Source organism: Homo sapiens, chromosome 3, assembly GCF_000001405.40.
Source record: "Homo sapiens chromosome 3, GRCh38.p14 Primary Assembly".
In the NCBI taxonomy this organism is placed as follows: Eukaryota; Metazoa; Chordata; class Mammalia; order Primates; family Hominidae; genus Homo; species Homo sapiens.
In genome coordinates this window covers 195,835,043-195,861,048 of record NC_000003.12, presented here as the reverse complement: position 1 = coordinate 195,861,048, position 26,006 = coordinate 195,835,043, and the positions used below count along the sequence as shown (strand labels likewise).

General features: G+C 49.7%; 2 long non-coding RNA genes and 1 pseudogene across 3 annotated transcripts, besides 3 other annotated features; 2 read left to right on the top strand and 1 right to left on the bottom strand.

The window, feature by feature from the left end:
• Positions 211 to 733: an enhancer, noted in NCBI's record as "H3K27ac-H3K4me1 hESC enhancer chr3:195587187-195587709 (GRCh37/hg19 assembly coordinates)". NCBI's record gives its function as "activates a minimal SCP1, AML or CMV promoter by ChIP-STARR-seq in naive H9 embryonic stem cells {active_cell/tissue: H9 hESC(naive)}" and the evidence as "EXISTENCE:reporter gene assay evidence [ECO:0000049][PMID:30033119]".
• LINC01983 (long intergenic non-protein coding RNA 1983) lies at positions 645 to 24,594 on the top strand. Of its 2 annotated transcripts, none has more exons than NR_134939.1 (2): positions 645 to 776; positions 24,434 to 24,594. It is a non-coding gene; the product is annotated as a long intergenic non-protein coding RNA 1983 (long non-coding RNA). The 2 variants fall into 2 exon arrangements; NR_134940.1 differs by lacking the exon at positions 645 to 776 and adding an exon at positions 6,821 to 6,916.
• Positions 734 to 1,258: an enhancer, noted in NCBI's record as "H3K27ac-H3K4me1 hESC enhancer chr3:195586662-195587186 (GRCh37/hg19 assembly coordinates)". NCBI's record gives its function as "activates a minimal SCP1, AML or CMV promoter by ChIP-STARR-seq in naive H9 embryonic stem cells {active_cell/tissue: H9 hESC(naive)}" and the evidence as "EXISTENCE:reporter gene assay evidence [ECO:0000049][PMID:30033119]".
• Positions 9,726 to 10,226: an enhancer, noted in NCBI's record as "H3K4me1 hESC enhancer chr3:195577694-195578194 (GRCh37/hg19 assembly coordinates)". NCBI's record gives its function as "activates a minimal SCP1, AML or CMV promoter by ChIP-STARR-seq in naive H9 embryonic stem cells {active_cell/tissue: H9 hESC(naive)}" and the evidence as "EXISTENCE:reporter gene assay evidence [ECO:0000049][PMID:30033119]".
• On the top strand, positions 13,939 to 21,857 carry LOC107984010 (uncharacterized). The gene is made up of 2 exons (XR_924880.3): positions 13,939 to 14,012; positions 20,932 to 21,857. It is a non-coding gene; the product is annotated as an uncharacterized LOC107984010 (long non-coding RNA).
• KIF3AP1 (kinesin family member 3A pseudogene 1) lies at positions 16,453 to 17,061 on the bottom strand (annotated as a pseudogene).
• Positions 24,595 to 26,006: the final 1,412 nt, after the last annotated feature.

Genomic DNA, 26,006 nt, shown 5'->3' with positions numbered 1-26,006 from the left:
TTTCTCATTTTCCTTCTGTTTCAGAAAGTTTATTCTTTTGCTCACAATTATCCTATTTATAGATCATAGGTGTTTTTACTTCATTTTAAAAAACACATCAATTTTTTGTAAGCAATCCAGATGTGTGTATGCTTTACAAGCATTTAAAAATCTGTTTCAGAGCCAACACATCCAGAAAGATTTTTGCAGGGGGCAGAGGATGTCAAAGCAGCTCGAGGTTTCTCAGGGGAGCAGGGAACCCAGTGTACTTTTCCTGCCAGACACACAGTTCCCTAAACCCTGGGTTTCCTGCTATGTTTTTCTTGCTTCTAATCGGCCTGCCAGCTTTTCCAGCATCTCCTGGGTTTACTGAAAAGATCTTAAGTTGGGAAGTTGAAACGCTGACCCAGGTGTGTTTGCCAACAGGCAGAATCAACAACAGGCAGAATCAACAACAGGGAGAATCAACAACGGAGAATCAACAACAGGGAGAATCGACAACAGGGAGAATCAACAACAGGCAGAATCAACAACAGGCAGAATCAACAACAGGGAGAATCAACTCAGTGGGGAGGTGTCGGGTGCTTTTTGTGTGTGGAGCCCTGATGAGGAAACACAAGCCAAGTAGAAACAGTCCGTGCCCCAGATGGGTCCACAGCCTTTGGGGGACTGTGACAGCATCACGGCAGGACGGGTGCTCTGTAATCGTTACGCACCAGGTGTCTTGGGAGCAGAGGAGGTGGCTCCCCACAAGGTCACGTTGTGCTGATGTGATGGGTGAGAACGGTGAACGCCAGGTAGGGACGAAAGCGCTGCAGGTGGAGGGCCCTGCAGCCGAGGCGGCGGGCACGAGCCGGCTTGTCCCAGGCACTGAAGTTGGCAAGGCCAGAGCGCATCCTTTTGTTGTTTTGGGGGTGGGTTAGAGGCGGCTCTCGTGATCCTGGCGCGTGAGGCAGGCCTGGATCATGAGGCTGCTGGTGTGGAATGCTGAGTTCTTTTGACTTTGTAGACAAAGGAAGACATCAGGAATAGCCAGAGGGGTAGTGGGGTTGCATCTGGGTGCTCAGGATGGGGCTGCTTGAAAGCGGCTGGCGGCTCCACTGCAGCCACAAAAGGAGGAAAGGCCTAGTGCGTCTCTCCCTGCGGACAAAAGGTTTCCTTAATTGGAAGCAAGTTCATTTGTACAGAAACTGCATTTGGAGGTTGGAGGAACCTCCAACTGCTGGAGTCTTTGTCGAGAGCAAGGGTTCTTGAAGGCCAGTCCAGGGCCGCTGCCGGTCTAGAGTTAAGTTTTCAGCCACCTGAGGTGAAATGATAAGAACTGCAGGACCGAGCTTTTCTTAAAATGAAAGAGATTCCGTTTCAAGGACGGTCTTTATTTGGATGTGTCTTCCTGAGTTCTTGGTACTGAAATGGCTGTTGTTGCGTAGTGGTGGTGGTGGTGTTAGGCGGTAACTGTGTCCCCCGTGCCCTGTCAGGATGCCCCTCACCAATGACTGCTATTTTAATGATCCCCGAAGTCCATCTTGAGGACCCGGGGCCAGAGAGCTTTCGTGTTAGGCAGCACCACCTGTTGGCAAAATGTGGCATTGCAGGCCCTCTGGCTAAATTTCAGAGTGGGAGGGATGAGATTGTGTATTCATTGCCCAATAAATCAATTAATTCCAAATCTGCTGGCTCAAGCCCATGGGTGCTTAAAGGGAGTCAGCCCAGGGAAGCTGGGAGGGGAAGGAACTGGGTCGCCCGCCATCTGGAGCCAAACGGGGACCAGCCAGTATCTAAGGTCAGGAAAGGAGACGGGTGGAGGGCTCTGAAAAACACCACGCCTGCACCTGGGCCAGAAACCTGCGGCTCTGGGCTAGCTGGAGGGAAGCTGAGGGCTGGGAGAGCGGGCAGTCACTCTCCAGCAGAAGTCCTCGCATCACGTCACTCCATTTGGGAAGCCTCAGTTCCACTGTATTAAAAAAAAATGTTTTTATGATTGTTATACATGCTCTTTGTTGACTTGGACCATTCAGAAGAGCGCAGTGAGAAAATTAAAGACCCAGAAAGCCACTTAAAATTTTGATATATTCCACTTTTTTTTGTGCACATATATGTGTATTACGGTTTTATAAAATAAGGTCATCCAGCATGCAGGGTTTCCTTAAGGTTTATTTTTATCTTTATTTTATTTGGTTTTTTGTTTGAATCAAGGTCACTCTCTGTCACCCAGGATGAGTGCCGTGGCATGATCATGGTTCAGGGTGGCCTGGAATTCCTGGACTCAAGCGATCGTCCCACTTAAGCCTCCCAAGCAGCTGGGGTGACCGGCGTGCCCCACCACACCTGGCTAATTTTTTTATTTTTTTATTTTTAGTAGAGACGAGGTCTCACTATGTTGCCCAGGCTGGTCTCGAATTTCTGGACTCAAACAATCCTCCCGCCTCAGCCTCCCAAAGTGCGGGGATTATAGGCATGAGCCACTGTGCCTGGCCAGTTTTCTGTATCTTTAAATTCATCTTCTCAAAGAATATTTAAACACTACCTAGTTTTTATTCTGTGGATAAACTCCAGTTAACACATTTTGTTAATGTTTTTTATCTTGTAACTGTTCATTTATTTAGAGACAAGGTGTCCCTCTGTCTCCCAGGCTGGAGTGCAGTGGCTCCAGCTCAGCTCGGCTCACCGTACCTTGATCCTCCAGGCCCAAGGGATCCTCCCACCTCAGCCTCCCAAGCTGTGAGAACTACAGGCAGGCGCCACTATACCCACATAGTTTTGTTCTTTTTTTTCTTTTTTCTGTAGAGATGAGATCTCACTATGATGCCCAGGCTGGTCTCGAACTCCTGTGCTCAAGTGATCCACCCACCTCGGCCTCCCCAAAGTGTTGAGATTACAGGCGTCAGCCACCGCACCCAGCTGTAACAAATTGTTTTAATAAATAGTGCTAAAAGGTTTTCCAGAAATATTTGGCTCTCTTATTAAAATAAAACATAAGTTTTGAGTTTTTTTATGAAAGAAAATGTACTCTCTCTCTCTCTCTCTCTCTCTCTCTATATATATATATATATATATTTTTTTTTTTTTTTTTTTTTTTTTTTTTTGAGACAGAGTTTTACTCTGTCACCCAGACTGGCATGCAGTGGCCCGATCTCGGCTCACTGCAACCTCCACCTCCCAGGTGCAAGCGATTCCCCTGCCTCAGCCTTCCCAAGTAGCTGGAATTACAGGCACACACCACCACGCCCAGCTGACTTTTTTGTATTTTTAGTAGAGATGGGGCTTCACCGTGTTGACCAGGCTTGTCCTGAACTCCTGACCTCAGGTGATCCACCTATCTCAGCCTCCCAGAGTGCTGGGATTACCGGCGTGAGCCACCGTGTCTGGCCATATATGTTTTTAAAGAAAGGACTTATGTTCTGGACATATATTTTAAAATATTTATGTAAAATTTTTATATGTATGTTTATATAAAATATATATATACATATATATACATACATATATATATACATATATATATAGAGAGAGAGATGGAGTCTCACTCTGTCACTCAGGCTGGAGTGCAATGGTGCGATCTCGGCCCACCAGAACCTCTGCTTCCCGGGTTCAAGCGATCCTCCTGCCTCAGCCTCCGAGTAGCTGGGACTACAGGCGCCTGCCACCATGCCCGGCTAATTTTTGTATTTTTAGTAGAGATGGGGTTTCACTCTGGTGGCCAGGCTGGTCTCACGAATTCCTGACCTCAGGTGACCCATCCGCCTAGGCCTCCCAAAGTGCTGGGATTACAGGCATGAGCCACCATGCCCAGAGGATTTTTATTTTATTTTATTATTTTATTTCATTTTTATTTATTTTATTTTTAGAGATGAGGTCTCACTATGTTGCCCAGGTTGGTCTTGAACTCTCGAGCTCAAGCAATCGTCCTGCCGCGGCCTCCCAGAGTGCCGGGATTCCAGGCTTGAGACACCACGCCCGGCCAAAATGCAGTAATTGTTTAAATGGAAGACATACTGTCTGTGATGGCAAATCACTGGGTCCCCAGTCCCATGTCCTCCCCTGCCAGTATCAGAGAGGGCCCTGGAGCAGTGACCATCCCTGAGCCAGGGTGGCTCTGGAAGGACTCAGCCTGCAGGGAGCCCCGCTACTCCCTTCCCTTCTTGGCCTGCCAGCCGCCCACCCCGCTCACCCTCTCTCCCTTGGAACCTCAGGGCTCCTCATGGCCTTGGGAGTGAGGAGAATTGATCAGAGGAAAAGCCGTGTCGGGCCTAACCCGGGTCGGAGGTGGCGGCGCTACAGGCTTGAGCTTCTTTCAGAGGCCCAGGCAGCACTGTGTTTGGGGGAGTGGTTCGGCTGCCGAAGTCCGGGGTTACTAGCACTCTGTCTTGTCTGATAACGATGCTGTTTAACCACAGCCTAGTCTGCAGGCAAGAAAGCTAACAGCTTCCTCTGTCTAATGTGCATTTATTTTTCTTTGTCTCAGTTACATACTTCCCATTTAGAATAATTCTAATTCCTTTCTGTACTAGAAGTTTTGTTGTTGTTTTTGAGATAGGGTCTTGCTCGGTTGCCCAGGCTGGAGTGCAGTGGCGCAGTCTGGGCTCAGTGCAACCTTTGCCTCTCAGGCTCAGGTGATTCTCCCACCTCAGCCTCCCAAGTAGCTGGGACTACAGGCAGGCGCCACCACGCCCGGCTAATTTTTTGTAGAGACAGGGTTTCACCATGTTGCTCAGTCTGGTCTGGAACTCCTGGGCTCAAGCAATCCACCTGCCTCGGCCTCCCAAAGTGCTAGGATAACAGCCGTGAACGACCGCACCCAGGCATTTTTCTTTTTAATTAAAACGATTTTTTTTTTCTGGAAGCTTCTGAGGTCGAAAAAGGAAAAAAGAAAAATAAAATTCTGCCCCCTCATAGAAGTTTTAAAATTTCAAATAATATCTTATGTCTAAGTATGTTATTAATCCATTCATCAACACATGTTTTCTACTTTCTATTGTGTACCTGGCACTGTGCTGGGAGCCAGAGGGCAGTGATGAGCAAAGCAGGAACAGGTGAGCAGGTATGGAGGGCCTGACATCACACAAGCTGTCATTCCAACTGTCAGCCCTGTGCCAAAATAAAAGAATGGCTTTTTCCCCCCAAATAAAATGTTTACCTTGTTTGCCAAAAGAACATTCTCATTATAGAGCTTCTGGATAACCTCCCTCTCAGAGTGTTTCCCGGGGACTCCACCCAAGATGCTGCCCTAAGTGTCATGCAAAAGAGAACAACGGAACCTTCAGCTCATCCTGGCTCTTGAATCCAATCACTGTTGCACAGCTTGGGGCTTCTCTCCTGTTGTGTGTATGTTTTTTAACGTGCTCACTTTATTATAGATTTGTAAATATTGAGCACATGTGCCAAAATACTCTGTCATTCCCGTTTGGCTGGTTATAGAGATAGTTCCCATTTTTCTTCTATTATTCTTATTGCCAAAGAAACCTAACTGTGCTAAGTCTATTACTATTGAATCATCCCCTCTCAGTGCTTAGCATTTACTCTGGTGCATTCCTTGAAAAAATCACAGTTGGCCATTATGCTATTTTTTTTTTTTGATACAGAATCTTACTCTCTTGCCCAGACTGGAGTGCAGTGGTGCGATCTCGGCCCACTGCAGCCTCTGCCTCCTGGGTTCAAGTGATTCTCCTGCCTCAGCCTCCTGAATAGGTGGGATTACAGGCATGTGCCACCACGCCTGGCTAATTTTTGTATTTTTAGTAGAGACAGGGTTTCACTATGTTGGCCAGGCTGGTCTCGAACTCCTGACCTCAAGTGATCCACCGGTCTCAGCCTCCCAAAGTGCTGGGATTGCAGGTGTGAACCACTGCGCCTGGGCCCATTATGCTATTTGAGCAAAAGATTTGTTAAGCACACCTCTACACTCCTCCCTCCCTCCCTCCCTTCCTCCCTCCCTCCCTCCCTCCCTTCCTCCCTCCCTCCCTATCTTTCTGATAGGGTGTTGCTATTCTTGAGTAACTGGATCTACAGGCATGCACCACTGCACCTGGCTCAAGAACTTTCTTCTTACACTGTACATATTTTGGTAAAAATGAAATCCTGATGAAGCTTCTAAAAGCCTTATTGTACTTAGTTTTACTTAAATATAGACAGTTCAGGAAAGCAGGTATTTCTGCCACTGGTTGTGTGACCTTAGGCAGGCCCCTGTTTTCCCTGGGCCTGAGTTTCACAGACCGTAAAGGAGGAGATCGGGCCCCTCCCAGCTCTGGCGTTCTGTCCCAGGAAGGAGAAGGCCGACGGCGGAGGCTGATGCTTTGGCCCTTCCCAGAGCTGCCTCTGCTGTCTGTGCCTCTTTTCTTTGCTCTGTCATCTTCCCTTGCTAAAGGCCCTGGGTTGGGCCCCAGCTCTGCTACTTGTGTGCAACTTCATTCTAGCCTTTTATTTTATTTTATTTTATTTTTTGAGATGGAGTTTCACTCTTGTTGCCCAGGCTGGAGTGCAATGGCACGATCTCAGCTCACGGCAACCTCTGCCTCCCGGGTTCAGGCGATTCTCCTGCCTCAGCCTCCCAAGTAGCTGGGATTACAGGGATATGCCACCACGCCCGGCTAATTTTGTATTTTTAGTAGAGACGGGGTTTCTCCATGTTGGCCAGGCTGTTCTTAAACTCCTGACCTCAAGTGACCCACCCGCCTCGGCCTCCCAAAGTGCTGGGATTCCAGGCGTGAGCCGCCGCGCCCGCCCATTCTAGCCTTTTAATCTCTCAATGGCATCAGTTTCCTCGTCTTGAAATGGGGTTGAGAAATTGTGAGGAATTCAAAGCGTCAGAACTTCCAGCTGCGAGACCTTATTTCCTGTTCACTTTTGCTTCTTCCCTGCAGACCAAGTTGGAGGTGCGTCCTCCTTTTGCCAGACCTCCTCTTGTGCCTCTTGCTGTATGCAGAGCGTCGTGATGACAGTAAGAGAGAAACCACCAGTCCCCTCCCGGTGGGAGCTTGCATCTGGGTGGGAGGGGCTCATAGAGGAGGCAGTTGAGGAAATGCGTAATGGTTGTGGGGCAGGGGTGGAGGTGAGGGGAGGCAGGCACAGCCAGACTGTGAGCCAGGCAGGACTGGGCAGATTTGGACATGGGTGGCCTGAGTGGCAGCAGCATCAAGGGTTCTGGGACCAAAGCCACTTGTTTTGGTGCTGGTCTCAGTGCCCTCCACCCACGTCCTCCAAACCCGAGGAGGCCTCGGGGCTGCCTGTGGAGGTCCATGGCCTGTGGCCCATTCTCATCTTGTGCCTCTCAGGCGAATTTTCTATTTGGGTTGTTGTATTTTTCAGTTCTAAAATTTTCATATTTCTTTTTAATATTTCATGTATCTGCCAAGATGATGTATCTTTTTGTTCACTTCAGTAGTGTTTGTTCTTACTCCTTGGAGCATGGTTATAACAGCTGCTTAACGTCTGTGATATTCCAACACCTGCCTCATCTTGGGATTGGCCTCAGTTGCTTGTCTTTCTCCTTGTGAGATGTGAGAGTTCTGTGGTTCTTTGTACGTTGAGTAGTTTTGGATTGTATCTTAGACTCTGTGAAGATGAAGTTATGAGATTCTGGGTCTTGTTTAAAGCCTGCAGAGAATGTTATTTTTGTTTGTCAGCAGGTTGGTTTTAGCAGGTAGTTGACTTAGGCTGAGACCCCAAGTTCCAGCGAGGGCAGCTCCAATGTCAGTTTTCAAGTCTCTGTATTTTGTGGTTGGGATCTGCCCCACACGTGCACAAACCAGTGGCCAGTCTGGGACCGGGGTGATAATCTACCCACGGTTCAGTTCTCAGGGCCTTCGGTGTGCAATTTACGGTCCGCGCCTGCGCCGTCGAGGGATACTTACGGCCCGCGCCTGCGCCGTCGAGGGATATTTACGGTCCATGCCTGTGCCGTCGAGGGATGGGCCCAGGAGCTTGGATCCAGCTTTATGGGATTCCTGCCCTGAGCACCTCCTTCTCTTCAGTCTCTGTGACACTTTCTGGCTTTGGGGCCACCCCACCCCACCCTTATTCCCCCACCCTTTCTGGCTCTTTGGCTTGAAGGCCTGGGCTTTAGCTTCCCTGCTTCACCACACACTTCCTGAGACTGCAGCTGCCTCTGCGGCCAAACAAAGAGAAGATGGAACGAGAAAAAAAAGCCAATGGGAATTTCCTCCATACTTTTGGAAGCACAGATCCTCTGGTCAGAGAGAAGAGTTCTCTGTGCCTGTCCAGCTGTTGTGGTGGGTTTGCTGTAAACTAGGTACCCATTGACTGATGCCAACTATGGGATGCCTTGTGGGTCATCCAGAGGGCAGATGTGGGCCTGAAACTGAAAACTGTGATCACAGCCTGTAACCCCTTGTCACCTGCTGGAATGTAAGCTCCAGTGAGGACAGGCCTTCATTGCTTTGTTCATCGATGTATCTCCAAGTGCCTAAAACAGCGCCTGGCACATGGTAGGCACTCAGTAGGTATTTGCTGAGCTTGGTGAACTATCATTTCTGGTAATAGGAGCCTCTGCCATTTACCCTGTACAGAGGCTGTAAACCTACGAAACTCAGTGTTCCCTTTCTAGGACAAATATTTTGCAACACCTTTACTTTACTGAAATGAAATTCCAAAGGTAATATAATCTGTCCACATACCGTGTTTAAACATCAGCCTACTGTCAGTCACAGATTCGGGGTTTGCCTTACTATACTGAAATTAAATTCCAAAGGTAATGTAATCTGTCCACATACCATGTTTAAACATCAGCGTACTGTTGATCGCAGATTTGGGGTTTGCCACCCACACCAGTCATCCAGGACCAAGACCCTTCCTCCAGCTGCAGGAGTGTCGGCTGCTCACAGCTCACAGCTGAGGCCCAAGAGAGCCACATTTTTGTCCCTGGGGGGAGGGGAAGCACACATCCAGTGACCGGTCGAGTCTCCACTCCGGCATCAATTTGGGACATCTCTGAAGGCCACCCCAGGCCTAAGCCCTGAGGGACCAGCTGCATCCTCTGCTATGACTATATCACAGCTCCACTTCTCCCTCTGCCCGATCCTGTATTATCTGCCCCTCACAGGCACACAAATCTCCCTCTCAGAGTGTTTCCTGGGGAACTCGACCCAAGATGATGCCCTAAGTGTTGTACAAGAGATAAGAGGCTGGGTGTCGTGGCTCACGCCTGTAATCCCAGCACTTTGGGAGGCTGAGGCGGGCACATCACTTGAGGTCAGGCGTTTGAGACCAGTCTGGCTGACATGGTGAAACCTCGTCTCTACTAAAAATACAAAAATTAGCCCAGCATGATGGCGCATGCCTGTAATCCCAGCTACTTGGGAGGCTGGAGAATCACTTGAACCTGGGAGGCAGAGGTTGCAGTGAACCGAGATCACTCCATTGCACTCCAGCCTGGGTGGCAGAGCAAGACTCAAAAAAAAGAAAAAAAAAGGAGAGATAAGAGAAGCGTAGTTTATAATAAATGTGTTCTCTGCACACACACTTAGGCGTGACTACACTAGGACCTCATAGCATGAGTTTCTCAGGTCCCCCCTCAGACCAACTGGACAGGAGACTGCACTTTGACAAGTTCCGCAGGCATTTGTGTGCACTGGCGCGTGAGAAGCGTTTCTCTAAGATGTTACAAGGGTCAGATGCTTGTGCCTAAGTGACTGTGTGACACACGAGGGCGGACGCACGAGTCACGGCCACTCAGATACCACACGCGGCAGGTGCCGCCAGTGATAAGATTTCCACGTCGGTGAACAACTGTTGGTAAAGTGCCGAACAAAACACGTTATGAAACTTTCTCAACTTACACAGTAGTTGCATTCCCGGAAAATTCAGTTTGTCTTAAAATTGTTCGCAAGACTATTTTGTCACGTAGGATCCGTGACATTTCCTCATGGCGCATCACTGCCCCACGCATTGCAGGAGGCCGGGCCCTTCGCGCCGGTAGCCCTTGGCTCGGTGACAACTGAAAACACCCCCAGAGCTTCCCACACTGTCCACTAGGGGACATCACTGTCCTCGTTGAAACACTCCCAGAACTTCCCACACTGTCCACTAGGGGTCATCACTGTCCTCGCTGAGAACGACTGGTCCACCAGAGAGAACCCTGTGCTTGGAACTTGACATGGTATTACACGAATCCTCCTGACAAGCATAAGAAGTCTTATATTCTCTCTCTTTAGCTAAGAAAACCAAGTTCAGAGAAGTTCAGCAGTTTGTCCAGGGTCACACAGCTAGTAAGCAGGTAGCAAGCAAGATCTGGACCCAGGTCTTCCTGTCACCAAAGCCCATGTTTGCCACAACGTGTGCTTTCCAGGTGTTTGTAGGTGATCAAGAGTTGCACGGTCCCTAGGCCGTGGCCAGGTTTATTTATTTATTTATTTATTTTTATTTTTATTTATTTATATTTTCTAGATGGAATCTCGCACTATTGCTCGGACTGGAGTGCAATGGTGCAATCTCAGCTCACTGCAACCTCTGTCTCCCGCGGTTCAAGTGATTCTCCTGCCTCAGCCTCCTGAGTAGCTAGGATTACAGGCGCCTGCCACCACACCCGGCTAATTTTTTGCATTTTTTAATAGAGTAGTTTCACTATGTTGGCCAGGCTGGTCTCGAACTCCTGACCTCGTGATCCGCCCATTTCGGCCTCCCAAAGTGCTGGGATTACAGGTATGTGCCACCGTGGCTGGCCTATTTTTTATTTTTATTTTTGAGACGGAGTCTTGCTTTGTTGCCCAGGCTGAGTGAAATGGCACGATCTCAGCTCCACTGCAACCTGCGCCTCCCAAGTTCAAGTGATTCTCCTGCCTCAGCCTCCCCAGTAGCTGGGATTACAGGTGCCTGCCACCACACCTGGCTACTTTTCGTATTTTTAGTAGAGACGGGGGTTTTGCCATGTTGGCCAGGCGGGTCTCGAACTCCTGACCTCAGGTGATCCACCTGCCTCAGCCTCCCAAAGTGCTAGGATTACAGGCGTGAGCCACCGAGCCAGGCGGTGGCCCATAAGTTTTAAAAAGCTCTCCACGGAGTTGTCATGAGCACCCAGGACTGAGAGCCCCTGAGCTTCACTTGGAATTAACGTGAGCTTGAGCGAGGCTTTGCAGCACGCCGGGCTTGGCAGGTGCAGGCGGAGCGGACCGAGGCGCTGAGGCCGGGGCTGCGCTGGGAGGGGAGCGCGTCCTCCGCGGGCCGGGGTGGGGCCTCCCTGTCTGCGCGCGCCCCCTGCCGGCGGCACCCGGCCCTGCGGCTTCAGCGCGTCGGTCCCGGCTGGAGCTGAGCGTGGCTGGAGAACAAATCCACAGCCAAGTGTGCGTCCGGCTCCTCCGGGAAGCAGTCGTGAGATGGGGATTAAACTCCCCAGGGTTCTATTAGGGGAGGTGACTGTGTGAGAGAAAATAAGGAGGCAGCCAGAGGAGCTGGGAGAGCCTTCAGACGGCCATGCAAGTCTGCACCTGCGTGAAGGAACGAGGGAGGGAGCGCCCCAGACCCGCCGTGTGCCTTCCTACCCCTGCCCTCCCACCCCTGCCGCAGCCAGCCGCTGCCTGGGGCTGCCCCGGGAGGCCCGGCCTCAGCGCACACCACGCTCAGGTGTGCAGCCTTCCAAGGGCTGCAGCTGGGCCTCGGAGTGATGGGAGGTCCCTTCCTCTTCGTGGCCACCTCACCAGTGTCATGGCTAGGAACGTGGGCTTTCGTCAAGACCGCCTGGGCATACCCCACTCCCGCCTGGGTGTAGGATCGCGAACAACTTTCTCACCCTTCTCGAGCCTTGGTTTTCTCTTCCGTATCATAGACATCAAAAGAATTTGCCACAAAGAGTGGTCACAATGCTAAGTGCTTGGCATGCGGTAGAGACTCGATCATCCTTAGCTGTTGTTATTCGTGTCAGAGGCGTGTGAACCAGAGCGACTGCATCTTGAATGGGAGCTGGGTAACATGAGGCCGAAACCTACTGGGCTGCATTCCCAGATGGTGAAGGCATTCTAAGTCACAGGATGAGATAGGAGGTTGGCACAAGATACAGGTCATAAAGACCTTGCTGATAAAACAGGGTGCAGTAAAGAAACCGGCTCAATCCCACCAAAACCAAGATGGCCATGAGAGTGACCTCTGGGCGTCCTCATGGCTACACGCCCACCAGCACCATGACAGTTTACAAATGCCATGGCAACATCAGGAAGTTCCCCTACATGGTCTAGCAAGGGGAGGCATGGATAATCCACCCCTTGTTTAGCATATCAGCAAGAGAGAGCCATAAAAATGGGCAAAGCAGCCCTCAGGCCTCCATCTGTGGTGCAGCTGTTCTTTTATTCCTCTACTTTCTTAATAAACTTGCTTTCGGGCCGGGCATGGTGGCTCACGCCTGTCATCCCAGCACTTTGAGAGGCCAGGGGCTGGGGCGGGTGGTGGATCATGAGGTCAAGAGTTCGAGACCAGCCTGGCCAACATGGTGAAACCCTGTCTCTACTAAAAATACAAAAATTAGCCAGGCGTGGTGCGGGCGCCTGTAATCCCAGCTACTCGGGAGGCTGAGGCAGGTGAATGGCTTGAACCTGGGAGCCGGAGGTTGCAGTGAACCGAGATCATGCCACTGCACTCCAGCCTGGGTGACAGAGCGACTCTGTCTCGAAATAAAAACAAACAAACAAAAAAATAAACTTGCTTTCACTTTACAGACACACCCTGAATTATTTCTTGCACAAGATCCAAGAACCCTCTCTTGGGATCTAGATCGAGACCCCTTCCTTGTAACATTAGGACTCTTCAACTATTCCCATGTTATCTGAAAGAGTGTAAAGATACAGTCTATTCCAGAAGGAAATCTTTCTTGTAAATCCATCAAATATTTACATGTTCAGAGCCGCCTTCGCCCAGGATGGGGACACTGGGGATTCTTTCTGCTCTACCCTAGCTTTTCCCTCCCTCCTCCACATCCAGGGGGTCCTGGAGGCCCTTCTATCCACCCAGGACCTTGGCTCCGTCCAATCTTCCTCTTCCTGGAGCAGACGAGAAGACTTTAGGAGCCATGGAGGAGGGGAGAGGGTGAAAGAAAATGGCCCTCGGAAAGGCACAGCCACAAAACCAGCGCACCTTTCTTTTGCCATCATTGGTGGCCTCACGACTCTGGTGCACTGTTATGCTGAGAGCATCTCTATTTCCCCTCCATTTTCATAAAGATACCCCCACCCCCAGGAAGGGTGTGGGGGCCAACTCGGTGGCCTGTAGCGTTGTCCATGGATGAGCAGGAGAAGCACTGGGGAGGGTGTGGCCTGGTCCGGCTTGGAGGTGGGGGAGGCGCTGTGCAGGGCTGCTCCTGGGAGTCTGCAGAGGTGGGCACAGGGTGAACCGAAGGTGTGGTGTCCGGGGCGGGGGTGATCAGGGAGGAAGCCCCTCCTTGGTCCCAGGGAGCAAGACCCAGGCCTGAACCGAGGCACCAAGCAGGAAGTGCCAGGGTTTGTGACAGGCTGGAAAGGAGGGAAGGGGGCAGCGCAGGCCAGCCCAGGACAGCCGGGACTGCCCTCCTCCGGGCGTGTGGACAGATCAGGCATGTCACCGGTGGGGCCCCGCACCTAGCGCCAGCCCCAGCTAGACCCATCACCGGCCTGTGCCTTCTTTTCTCCCCAGGACAGGCTTGGCCGTGGTCATTCCAGAGGGGCCCAGAGGCGGTGAGACTCTGGGGCAAGTCCTTGCTCTGCAGCCTTGTCCTCCTGGTGACCCCATCATCTCTGCTGACCCATGTTCCGCAAGCCGAGTGACTAATGCACAAAACCTCCCTGGGGAGAGCAGAGACCAGGCCACACTCCGAAATGGAAACGGAGCCCAAAGGGGTGTGGCTGATAACCTGGGCAACCTCTTTCTCTGCCCATAGGTGCCAAGAGAGGAGCGAGGCCCAGGGCGGGGGAGGAAGAGGGCAAGGGTCAGAAGTGGGCAGGCAGAGGGAGTGGACACCAGACAGCTGGGGAAAGATTTCCCACTAGACAGGAAGCTCCATGAGGGCAGAGACCAGGTTTATCTCCTGTACCCACAGCCTGGCAAGTAACAGGTACACGGTAAGTACTCATGAGCCACCGCACCCGGCCCCCTTGTCTGATCTTGGTGATCTTGGTGGGGAAAATTATATACTTGCCCAGTGGGAAGATGTTTTGATCTAAAACTGCTTAATGATTTTTTTGCCACTCTCTGTCATTCGGTTCTGCCGTTTAGTTGCAGCCTAGCCTGGGAGGTCTCGTCCCACAGCCTCACTGGGGAGGCAGAGTCACCCACTGGCTATTTTTCCAGCCTCAGCAGACATCTCTATAACTGCTGTCACACTTTTGCTAATTTTACTGAAAGATGCGACAAAATCCCTGCAAACAAGTTGTGATGTGAGCTGCCTTCAGCTTCTGATACGATTCCTCCTTCGAAAACATGCACCAGCCCCCCGCATGGGACTTTGCTGGTCACTTCATATTCCACTGGAGGCCACCGCCAAGGTTTGCAGGAAGCCCGTGGGTCTTGAAGAGCTAAACTGAAAGGTTAGCCAACTCCAGAGACTGACCTCCTCGGAAGAGTCTGATCACTTTTCTCGTTTCCTGAGGAGTGGTTAGTAACATAGGCAAAGCCAGAATTTCCCATAGCTGCCTAGGGAAAGAAGGACAATTTTTGTCCTAGTTACATTTGCCAAAGCAAAACAAAATAACAAAGCATAACTCTTCTCCACTGTTCACAGCTTCCATAATCGATCTGCACGGCCAGACCTCCTGGGTCCCCTACCCTGGGCCCTGCTCCCTCACAGGCCAGGGTGTCTGTAGGAGGGCCTCCATTCTAGGTTGAGATCCAGTGCTCTCCTCTGGTCCAGGATTACTGCTATTTCCATTTATTTTTTTTTTTTAGGTAAAAAATTGTTATTCTTATTTAACCATGCTGCATATATACAACAATATCAATATATACAACTTGAACAGATACAATTTATACATAAAGTACAATGAAAGCATGCCTTTTGAAATTGATGCAGCTGACTTACTCTTCACTTTGTAATTTTGGCCAGTATACAGTATTGCAGTAATACTGCTGAAGTTATTAATTATTTAAATGAGTTAGATTACATCATAAGTTTAAGGGCACTAGAAAATCTATGTTTTCCCAGCCTGGGCAACATGGTAAAAATGCATCTCTACAAAAAATACAAAAATTGGCCTGAAGAGGTGGTGCATGCCTGTAGTCTCAGACTTGGGGGACTGAGGCAGGGGGATCGCTTGAACCTCAGGAGGTTGAAGCTGCAGTGAGTGGGGATTGCACCACTGCACTCTAGCCTGGGTGACAAAGTGAGAACAAGAAAGAAAGAAAGAGATAAAGAGAGAAAGAGAGAGAGCAAGCGAGAAAGAGGGAGGAAGGGAGGAAGGATGGAGAAAGAAAGGAAAGAAAGAAAGAAAGAGAAAGAAAGAAAGAAAAAGAGTGAGGGAGGGAGGAAGGAGAGAGAAGAAAGAAAGAACGAAAGAATGAGAAAGAAAGAAAAAGATCTATGTTTTCTTCTATTCTTCTAGGATTTTTGTTTTTGTTTTTGTTGAGACGGAGTTTCACTCTTGTTGCCCAGGCTGGAGTGTAATGGCACGATCTCGGCTCACCACAACCTCTGCCTTCCGGGTTCAAGCAATTCTCCTGCCTCAGCCTCCCAAGTAGCTGGGATTACAGGCATGCACCACCACGCCCGGCTAATTTCGTAATTGTAGTAGAGACGGGGTTTCACCATGTTGTTCAGGCTGGTCTTGAACTCCTGACCTCAGGTGATCCACCTACCTCGGCCCCCCAAAGTGCTGGGATTACAGGCATGAGCCACTGTGCCCGGCCTCTCCTAGTATTTTTAAGAACAAGGAATAATTAAAAAGAAAACAAATGTGTACATTAGGAAATTGAGCAGACACTGGCTTACTTAAACGTAAACTCTGCCCATTCTTTAATTCACAGCCCTGCAGGAAAGAGGACTTTCCTTGAGATTAAAGTGAAGGGGAAGGATATTAAAAACAGACTAAAAAGAAACAGAAGCAAAGCAAAAAGAAAAAAAAAACAAAAAACCCAAAGCATAATCATGGTTTTAAAAATATGTTACAGATGAAGTAGCACCGCCCCCTACCACAAAGTCACCTGAAATTTTTGCTGCAAAAAAATTCCCCTTTCTCCAGAAAGTGAATGAAATAGCATATGGAATGGATTCCATTCATGGGGCAAGTGTGTGATGCAACCTCCTCGCCTTATTACATTTCTACTTTATAATAATCTAAACACAAACAGAGAATACGATTACATTTTAACACCCTAACTATTGGTATAGGCAACATAAGGATTCTTAAAGAACACACTATAAACCAGTAACTCTACCAAGCCTCCTTTTTTAGTAGAGACGGGGTTTCACGATGTTGGCCAGGCTGGTCTCGAGCTCTTGACCTCGAGATCCTCCTACCTCGGCCTCCCACAGTGCTGGGATTACAGGTGTGAGCCGCTGCGCCCGGCCCAAACTTTCTTTAAGATCTCGGTCTTTCCCTGTGGTTCCTCTTGCAAACTGGTCTATTTTCCTTCAGTTTCCAAGCCTTCTTACCTTTTTCCCTCAAGTTCTCTGCAAAGTTGCTCTGCTCTTTTCCTCCTTTCTTCCAGCTCTGTATGAGATTCTTCAAGAAGTTTCTCTCGTTCCTCGGCTTTGGCCAACAAATCAACGCCACCAACAATTACCTTCTTCTCCAGGGCAGAGAACTTTTCTGGCAAAGACTGATGCTCTTGTTGGGTTTTAAGATCTTTTTTCCTGTTTCTCGAATTTAGCTGCAGCCTTGTTTCTTCTTCCACGTCAAGCTTTGTTTCAAGTGCCTTTCTCTCCGCATCCGCTGTCGCCGGCGTTTCAACCGTCCTCTCTGGGAAGACTTTATTTCCCCCTTTTTTCCTTTTCTCTTCATCTTCTCCAATCTTACCCTCTTCATTGTCATCTCCGTCCGACCCACTGACATCACAGCCTGATATTTCTTCCCCTTCTGTGAGCTTCTTTTTCAGGTCTTCTATTTCTTTCTGAAATTGATGAAGCAAAGCATCCTTCAGATCTTCATTAAATCTAGCTTTATTTTTAATACTTTTTTTTGGAGACAGTCTTGCTTGGTTGCCTAGGCTGGAGTGCAGTGGCGCGATATCAGCTCACTCCAACCTCCACCTCCTGGGTTCTAAGCCATCCACCTGCCTCAGCCTCCCGAGTAGCTGGGATGACAGGTGCCCACCACCACGCCTGGCTAATTTTGTATTTTTAGTAAAGACGGGGTTTCACCATGTTGGTCAGGCTGGTCTCCAGCTCCTGACCTTGTGATCCACCCCTCTCGGCCTTCCAGAGTGCTGGGATTACAGGCAAGAGCCACCACGCCCGGCCCCATGGAATGATTTTTAAACTACTGAACTATAAAATGATTTTTTATTTATTGATTGATTGGCATCGTGACCCCCTCCCGTGCTAGGCAGACCACCCTGCTCGGGTGCAGCCCGGTGACGCCGGGCACGTGGAAGAGCTTGCCAGGGACTCCGTGCGCAGACGCCTGTTTCCCACCAGCTGTGTATTTTTGGGACAGGGTCTGACTCTGTTCCCCAGGCTGGAGTGCAGTGCCGCGATCTTGGCTCACTGTAACCTTCAACTCCTGGGCTCAAGCAGTCTTCCCAGGTCAGCCTCCAAACCCACTAGTTTGTTTGTTTGTTTGAGACGGAGTCTTACTCTGTCGCCAGGCTGGAGTGCAGTGGCACGATCTCAGCTCACTGTAACCTCTGCCTCCCTGCCTCAGCCTCCCGAGTAGCTGGGACTACAGGCGCCCACCACCATGCCCAGATAATTTTTTGTATTTTTAGTAGAGACGGGGTTTTGCCATGTTGGCCAGGCTGGTCTTGATCTCTTGACCTCGTGATCTGCCCACCTCGGCCTCCCAAAGTGCTGGGATTGCAGGTGTGAGCCACCATGCCCAGTCTGTTTTTTTAACATTTTAAAAGGAGAGGATAAAGAAAAACAACAGGCCGAGTGCGGTGGCTCACGCCTGTAATCCCAGCACTTTGAGAGGCCGAGGCAGGCGGATGACCTGAGGTCAGGAGTTCGAGACCAGCCTGCCCAACATGATGAAACCCCGTCCCTACTAAAAATACAAAAAATTAGCTGGGCGTGGTGGCAGGCGTCTGTAGTCCCAGCTGCTTGGGGGGCTGAGGCAGGAAAATCGCTTGAACCAGGGAGGTGAGGTTGCAGTGAGCAGAGATCATGTCACTGCACTGCAGCCTGGGGGACAGAGCGAGACTTCATTAAAAAAAAAAAAAAAAAAGAAAAGGAACAAATTATAGGGAAAGGAAAATATTTGCAACAAATCTGACAAAAGTGTCCCTATCAGTATCAGTATTTAATGAAAACACTCACCTAGATTGATAAGAAAAATACTAAGATCCTAACTGGATGGACTTGTTTAGACAATTCACTATGAGAACACACACACACACGCACAGGAAAAATAGCTATTTAACTCTCAAAAGTGGTAAAAAAAAATACATTAAAATACATGGCATGATTCTTTTTTTTTTAGACAGAGTCTTGCTCTTGCCACCCAAGCTGGAGTGCGATGGCTTGATCTCGGCTCCCTGCAACCTTTGCCTCCTGGGTTCAAGCGATTCTCCTGCCTCAGTCTCCTGAGTAGTTGGGATTACAGGCGCCCGCCACCACGCCCGGCTGATTTTTGTATTTTTAGTAGAGACGGGGTTTCACCATGTTGGCCAAGTTGGTCTTGAACTCCTGACCTCAAGTGATCCGCCCACCTCGGCCTCCCGAAGTGCTGAGATTATAGGCATGAGCCACCATGCCTGGCCCCATGGAATGATTTTTAAACTACTGAACTATAAAATGATTTTTAAAAATACTTCCCAGTGCTTGCAAAGATTTGGTGAAAGTGGCACTTTCATACATTTCTAGGTGCAATTTTTTTTTTTTTTTTTTTGAGACAGGGTCTCACTCTGTCACCCAGGCTGGAGTGCAGTGGTGCCATCATGGCTCACTACAACCTCCACCTCCAGGGCTCAAGCCATCCTCCCACCTCAGCCTCCTGAGTAGCTGGGACTACAGGCACTTGCCACGATGTCCGGCTAATTTTTTTGTAGAGACGGGGTTTCACCATGTTGCCCCAGGCTGGTCTCGAACACCTGGGCTCAAGCAATCTGCCCACCTCTGCCTCCCAAAGGGCTAGGATTACAGGTGTGAGTCACTGTGCCCAATTGAGGTGCAAATTTTTGAAAAGTAATTTGGTAATGTGTGTTAAGAGCCACCAAGGATTTCTACACATTGATGCAGTAATACTACTTCTGGGAATCTATCCTAAGGAAATACTAAAAGAGAGGGAAAAGCTGTAGGCATAGTTTCCATGGCAAATATTTAGAGTAGTGAAACCAGCAAACCAAGCAAAAACAATCTATCTAAATATTCAACAATAAGGGAAAAGTTGGCTGGGTGCGGTGGCCCACACCTGTAATCCTAGCACTTTGAGAGGCTGAGGCGGGCGGATCACCTGAGGTTGGGAGTTCGAGACCAGCCTGACCAACATGGAGAAACCCCCGTCTCTACCAAAAAAAGTACAAAATTAGCTGGGCGTGATGGCGCATGCCTGTAATCCCAGCTACTCTGGAGGCTGAGGCAGGAGAATCGCTTGAACCCAGGAGCTGGAGGTTGCAGTGAGCCGAGATTGCGCCATTGCATTCCAGCCTGGGCAACAAGAGCTGTCTAAAAAATAATAATAATAAGGGAAAAGTTTGTTAAATTATGGTATAACTACTTGATGAAGCTCTTCCCTTAAAATTATAGATACATAGTAATATTAAACATGCTTAATATAGTAAGTAAAACAACAGACTAAAAAGTTGTATCTACAGTGTGGTTTCAGCTATATTAAAATATATATGTAGATGAGAAAATTAGGAGCAAAAAATTATTAAGTTTAACTATGGAGAAGGAGGGTTATATGTGATTTTCTAATATATGTGATTTTATTTTATTATTTCTTTCTTTCTTTCTTTTTCTTTTTCTTTTTTTTTTTTTTTTTTTTGAGATGAAGTCTCGCTCTTGTCCCCCAGGCTGGAGTGCGATGGCTCAATCTCGGCTCACTGCAACCTCTGCCTCCCAGGTTCAAGCGATTCTCCTGCCTCGGCCTCCTGAGTAGCTGGGATTACAGGCGCCTGACACCACGCCTGGCTAATTTTTGTATTTTTAGTACAGATGGGGTTTCACCATGTTGGCCAGGCTGGTCTCGAACTCCTGACCTCAGGGGATCCGCCCACCTTGGCCTCCCAAAGTGCTGGGATTACAGGCTTGAGCCACCGTGCCCGGCCTATTTTTTTTTGAGATGGAGTCTTGCTCTGTCACCCAGGCTGAAGTGCAGTGGTGTGATCTTGGTTCACTGCAACCTCCGCCTCCCAGGTTCAAGCAATTCTTCTGCCTCAGCCTCTGGAGTAGCTAGGATTACAGGCACGTGCCACCATGTCCAGCTAATTTTTGTATTTTTTGGCAGAGACGGGGTTTCGCCATGTTGGCCAGGCTGGTCTTGAACTCCTGACCTCAAGTGATCCACCCACCTCAGCCTCCCAAAGTGCTGGAATTATGGGCGTGAGCCACTGCACCTAGCCCTAATATATGTAATTTAATTATAAATTAAATATAAATTTAATTATAAATTAAGTGTATATATAAATATATACATTTAATTATAAATTAAATATATAAAAATATATACATTTAATTATAAATTAAATATATACATTTAATTATAAATTAAATATATAAAAATATATACATTTAATTATAAATTAAATATATAAAAATATATACATTTAATTATAAATTAAATATATAAAAATATATACATTTAATTATAAATTAAATATAATTAATATATGTGATTTTCTAATGTCAGATTTTAAAAAACATTTGTATATTGCTTTTTTTTAAAGTAAGAATGGGAAGAATGGAGAAAGCGCGTGCATGTGTCTCCCAGCTGCAGGTATTTTGGACATTTCCACCCCTGCCTCATGCCGGCAGTCCTGCACTCAGCCTCAGTCCTGCAATCCTGCATACAGTGTGTGGGCTCTGGGCCCCAGCTCCTCCCCAGGAGGAGGGGAGCAGACAGGGGAAGCAGCTCCTGACAGGGAGGGCAGATGAGGGCAGGGGAGAGGACAGTGTGTCCTGGCCCTTTCGTCCACCACTGGGCTCCTCCTCCACCTATTCCGGTCCTACCAGCCTTCAATATCCACTCGCATCTGAAGATCTGATTGATTGGCCAGCGTCACTCCTGCTCATGCCCTCCAGATGGGAACCCGACAAGGCAGGGAGCCAGGGTCAGGCCCAGAAACCTTCCTGGAACTTCAGCGTCCAGCCAACCAACTGCAGTGATGAACTAACAGTCCACCCAGGGCTGGCCGGGGCCGCTTGGAGGACCAGATCTCTCCCGCTGAAGGGCGAGGGGAGGAGGGAGACAGCTGGATGTTTGCTTCATCTCCGTCTGCCAGAGACCCCTTTCCTTTCTTGGCCTGCCTAATTTCTACCATCTTGAAAAACTCCGCGGAGGGGCCACCTGCTGCGTGACGCCTTCCTCAATACCTGCCTCCCTCCAGGGCCGGCTCCCGCTGGGGACACCGGCACGACAGAGACAGGCTGCAGCTTAGCAAACATGAGCTGATGGAAAAGAAAATTACTTGTTTGTGACTTCCTTGGTCTCACTTCTCCCTGAGCCCCAAATCCTCTGCACCACCCATGCTGTCTTTCAAAGAACAGCTCCTCTTTTTCTGCATCTGTTGAAATCAAGAAACAGAAATAAAGAACAGCTTCCTCGGCCCACTTAGGGAGCATGGGGAGGGGAGCAGTGTGCTGCTGCGTGAAATACTCGTTTGTTGTTTGAAGCCACTCAGTTTTGGAGTCATTTGTTAGGCAGCAGCAGATGACTGACAGACCCTCCTCCTTTCATGGGTGTTCTCTCAATACATCTTTTCATTCACTTCTAATCCTGTCATGCCTTCAGCTTTTCAGACTGAAAAAACACAGGTGTAAACATAATAGTCAAAACAACCAGCTCTTACTGAACACCCACCTGTGGGACACACCTTCTAATCACGTACAGTTTGAGTTAATCCTGCAGCCACCCTGTGAGAGACTCCTGTGGTTCCCATTTTACAGACGGGGAAACACACACAGATGTTAACTCATTTGAATGTGGAGAGAGAAGTTAGAACGGCAGAAACAGCTGTGGTCACTGCAGGGGTTCTTGTTTCGGCTCTGCTGTGTGGCTCTGGACAAGCCATTTCACGCCTCCAGACCTCAGTTTATTTTTATTTATTTATTATTTTTATTTTTACTTATTATTTTTTGAGACAGAGTCTTACTCTGTCACCCAGGCTGGAGGGCAGTGGTGATCTCGTCTCACTGCAACCTCCGTCTCCTGGATTCAAGTGATTCTCTTGCCTCAGCCTCCCGAGTAGCTGGGATTACAGGCATGTGCCACCACACCCAGCTAATTTTTGTATTTTTAGTAGAGACGAGGTTTCACCATGTTGGCCAGGCTGGTCTCAAACTCCTGACCTCAGGCGGTCTGCCCGCTTCAGCCTCCCAAAGTGCTGGGATTACAGGTGTGAGCCACTGTGCCTGGCCCAGACCTGAGTTTCTTCATGTTTCTAAAGCAGTATACATAACTACACACTACATCACTGGACCCTGAGGTCCCTTTTATGATGGTAACAAGGATAACAATAAGGTATCACTAGGATTCCGAGAGTTAGACTCGTAAAACCAACATAGACCAATGGACCAGATCACACACAGATCCATATGTACGTGTGTGTGTGTGTGTGTGTGTGTATACAAACATACAACACAAATGCCAACTGGAGTCATTCTTTCCATGGGGCCTAGACATAAGAATGGATCAAGCCCGTTCCGCCTCCCTCGTCAAGTACAAGGTTCTCCCAAGACCCCAAGAATCCTTCGGTGGGGGTGACGCTCTTGTGCCACCTCCGGCTCCCAAGTCCCGAGACCCCGAGAATCTTTTGATGCGGGTGACGCTCTCGTGCCGCCTCCGGCTCCCAAGTCCCGAGACCCCGAGAATCTTTTGATGCGGGTGACGCTCTCGTGCCGCCTCCGGCTCCCAAGTCCCGAGACCCCGAGAATCCTTTGGTGCGGGTGACGCTCTCGTGCCGCCTCCGGCTCCCATGTCCTGCCTGTGGCTTCTTGGGCTGCACATCCCACAAGGCATTTCTGCTTCGTCCTCTGTCCCTGCGTCAATCCCAGTGTGAGATGTGGCGTTTCTCTTTGATTTCTGCCCCCATGCCCCATCTCCGTGAGGCACCCGCCTGCTGGAGAGCTCTGACTGTGATCTCCAGGCCACTGGCCATGCTGCATGGCCAGCTGCTGCCTGTCGCCAAGAGGCAGGCAGTCTCTCCCCCAACCCGCAACCCTGCTGCCCCCCAACGGAGCCTCCCCCTCCTGCTACTGCATGGATTACCGGATAAAATACAGGATCTTCAGCCACATTGAATTTCACATAAATGACAAATCTTCTTTAGTATAAGGGTTCCCAAATCTTGTATGTGATTATAATACTTAAAAAAATCATCTACTGTTTATATGAAAGTAACATTTAACTGGATATTCTCTATTTTTATTTGCTAGATCTGGCTTTGTCTTCCTTTCCAAGGCTCTCCTCACCCCTCCCTCCCAGATCATCCCTGACCCTGCAGATCTTGGCCACTCTATAAACTGGAGCAATTCTGGTTTCCCCACACCTCACCCCAAAACTCAGCCCAGGTCCATGCCTCTGTGTCTAAATCCCTTGAGGACATCTGCTCCTTTATTAGTTCAGGGCACCCACAGTTTATGTTTTTGTGTTTAATCCCTGTAACCTGTTCCTTTTGTCCCTGTGTTGCTGGTGTGGTATTTCTGTTGCACAGAAAGGCCTCCCCGGCTGACATCAGGGTGGAGCAGGCCCTCAGTGCCTAGGCAGCATCAGTGACATGGATCGAGAAAGGATGTACCTGAAAAGCCGGTCAAAGGAGAACAAGAAGGGGGCATCCTGGGAGGCTGCTCCCAGGAAAAAGCCTGGTGGGAGGGCAGGGGCCTTGGACACGGGGACCCAGCTCCCCACCTCCCCACCTCAGAGAGGCCTGGGAAATCATTCCTGGCAGTAGCCTGGCCTTGCCCGTCGGACAGTATTAGGGAGGGTGAGGGAAAACACTTCGTGGTCAGGTCAGTTTGGAAAACTTCCTGTAAGGTGGTGTTTGTTTCAGAGCTTTGATGAGGCCGATGCACAGTGCGAATTTCCAGAAGCGGGTGAGCGCAGCCTTCTGCAAGCTTCATTATCCACGGTGTCTTTTTTTTTTTTCTTTTTTTGGAAAGCTGTTCATGCAAGAATGCTCTGTTTTGGGAAATGCAGTCTCACACCCTCCTCTCCCCTAATCCTGTTTCTAGGCTCGTCAAGCTTTCCAATTTGAGTCTTCAGCTATCCAGAAGCTGTGAAGGGGCAGCCCCGTCACCAGACACAATCCTTGCAAAGGGACAGCCTCCATCAGCCTCCATGGAAGACTGACAGACCCACACAGGGGAGAATAAATCAACCTGCAAATGAAGCATTCAGCCAGCTTGGGAGTTCTGCTTTCCATTTTAAATTAATACACCGGCCTTCTGGTTTGTACATCGGTTGTCCTCCCGTGGGTCTGGCTGGTAGGCATTGGTTTCTGAGGGGCTGGCTGTGTCTGGGGCAAGGTGGAGACCTCAATCCTGGGCTGCCGGGATGGGCCAAAGTGACCTTCGATGGAGCATCTCCCAACCCTAGAATTACAGGGATTTATGAAATGTGGACCTTTCCTGAATGTTAAATTTGCTGAGGGCCAAAGGGGTCAACCATCTCAGCAATGGGCAGGGGCCAGAGGTGCACGAGGGAGGAGAGAAGTGAGGAGAAGAAGAGCGATGGATCGGGGTACAGGCGATCAGGCACGGGCAGGCAGGACAGGGGCCTGATGCGGGAGGGCGGTGGTGGGGACGGTGTAGGGAACAGGAGGTGGGAGGAAGCAGGCTGCCATGCAAGCTCACCCCAGGAGAACCAACCGGGAGGAGGGGGTTCCCTGTCCGGGAGGGCTGAGAGATGGCCGAGGCTCTGCTGCAGCCCTGGTGGAGGCCATCCCTGGGAGAGCCTCCGTCTGAGCTCTGGCTCTTGGGGAGGAAGGGCCAGCTGCCAGTGAGGGCCCTGCTGGGCTTCTGGGTGGCGGCAGGAAAGCTCTGGGAACCCGGGACTCAGAGCCTCCTGGGCCTTATCTTCCTGTTTGGACGTTACTTTCAATGGCCACTGCTCTGGTCCTGCTGGCCCGTCCTGGGTGTGAAAGGAGAAAGAGGCTCCTTGTGGGCCTGTGGAGAAGGGTGAGACCCCTTTCTAGAGGACCTCCTCGGCCTCCACTTCTGCCAGGACATCCATGACGGCCGATTCCATTTCCCCTGCCTGGCGCACCTGAGCTCACGGCTGCCCATTCTTCTGCTAGTAGACGGAGCTGGGACAGGCCTGCCACTCCCTGCACCCCCCTAACCCCCACACGTCCTGGCCCTGTCCCTGGATGCCGTCAGGGCCTGTTCCCCACTCAGTTCTCAGAGCAACCCGGAATGAAACTGTATTTGAAACATCCCCTTACTTCCTTGTTCCTCTTGGCACCCGATCACCTCGGTCCCAGCCCCAAAACTCTCATTGTGCCAGCATCCTCTGGAATCAGAGACCCACCCATGCGGAATCAGAGACCCACCCATGCGGAATCAGAGACCCACCCAGGCAGACTCAGAGTCCGACAGTGTCAGAGCTGAACTGGGTAGTGACCAACTAGCTCAACCTCATTTCACAGACGAGGAAACTGAGTCGCAGGGTGGGGAGGAGCCAGCAAAGGCGGCACGGCAGTGAGACCATCCCCATTTGGGGACCTCCGTGACCTCCCCGAACTGAACAGCACCCATGACAGAGGGCTCCTCTATCCAAATCCAAAGGCCAAGTCCTCCAGTCTCC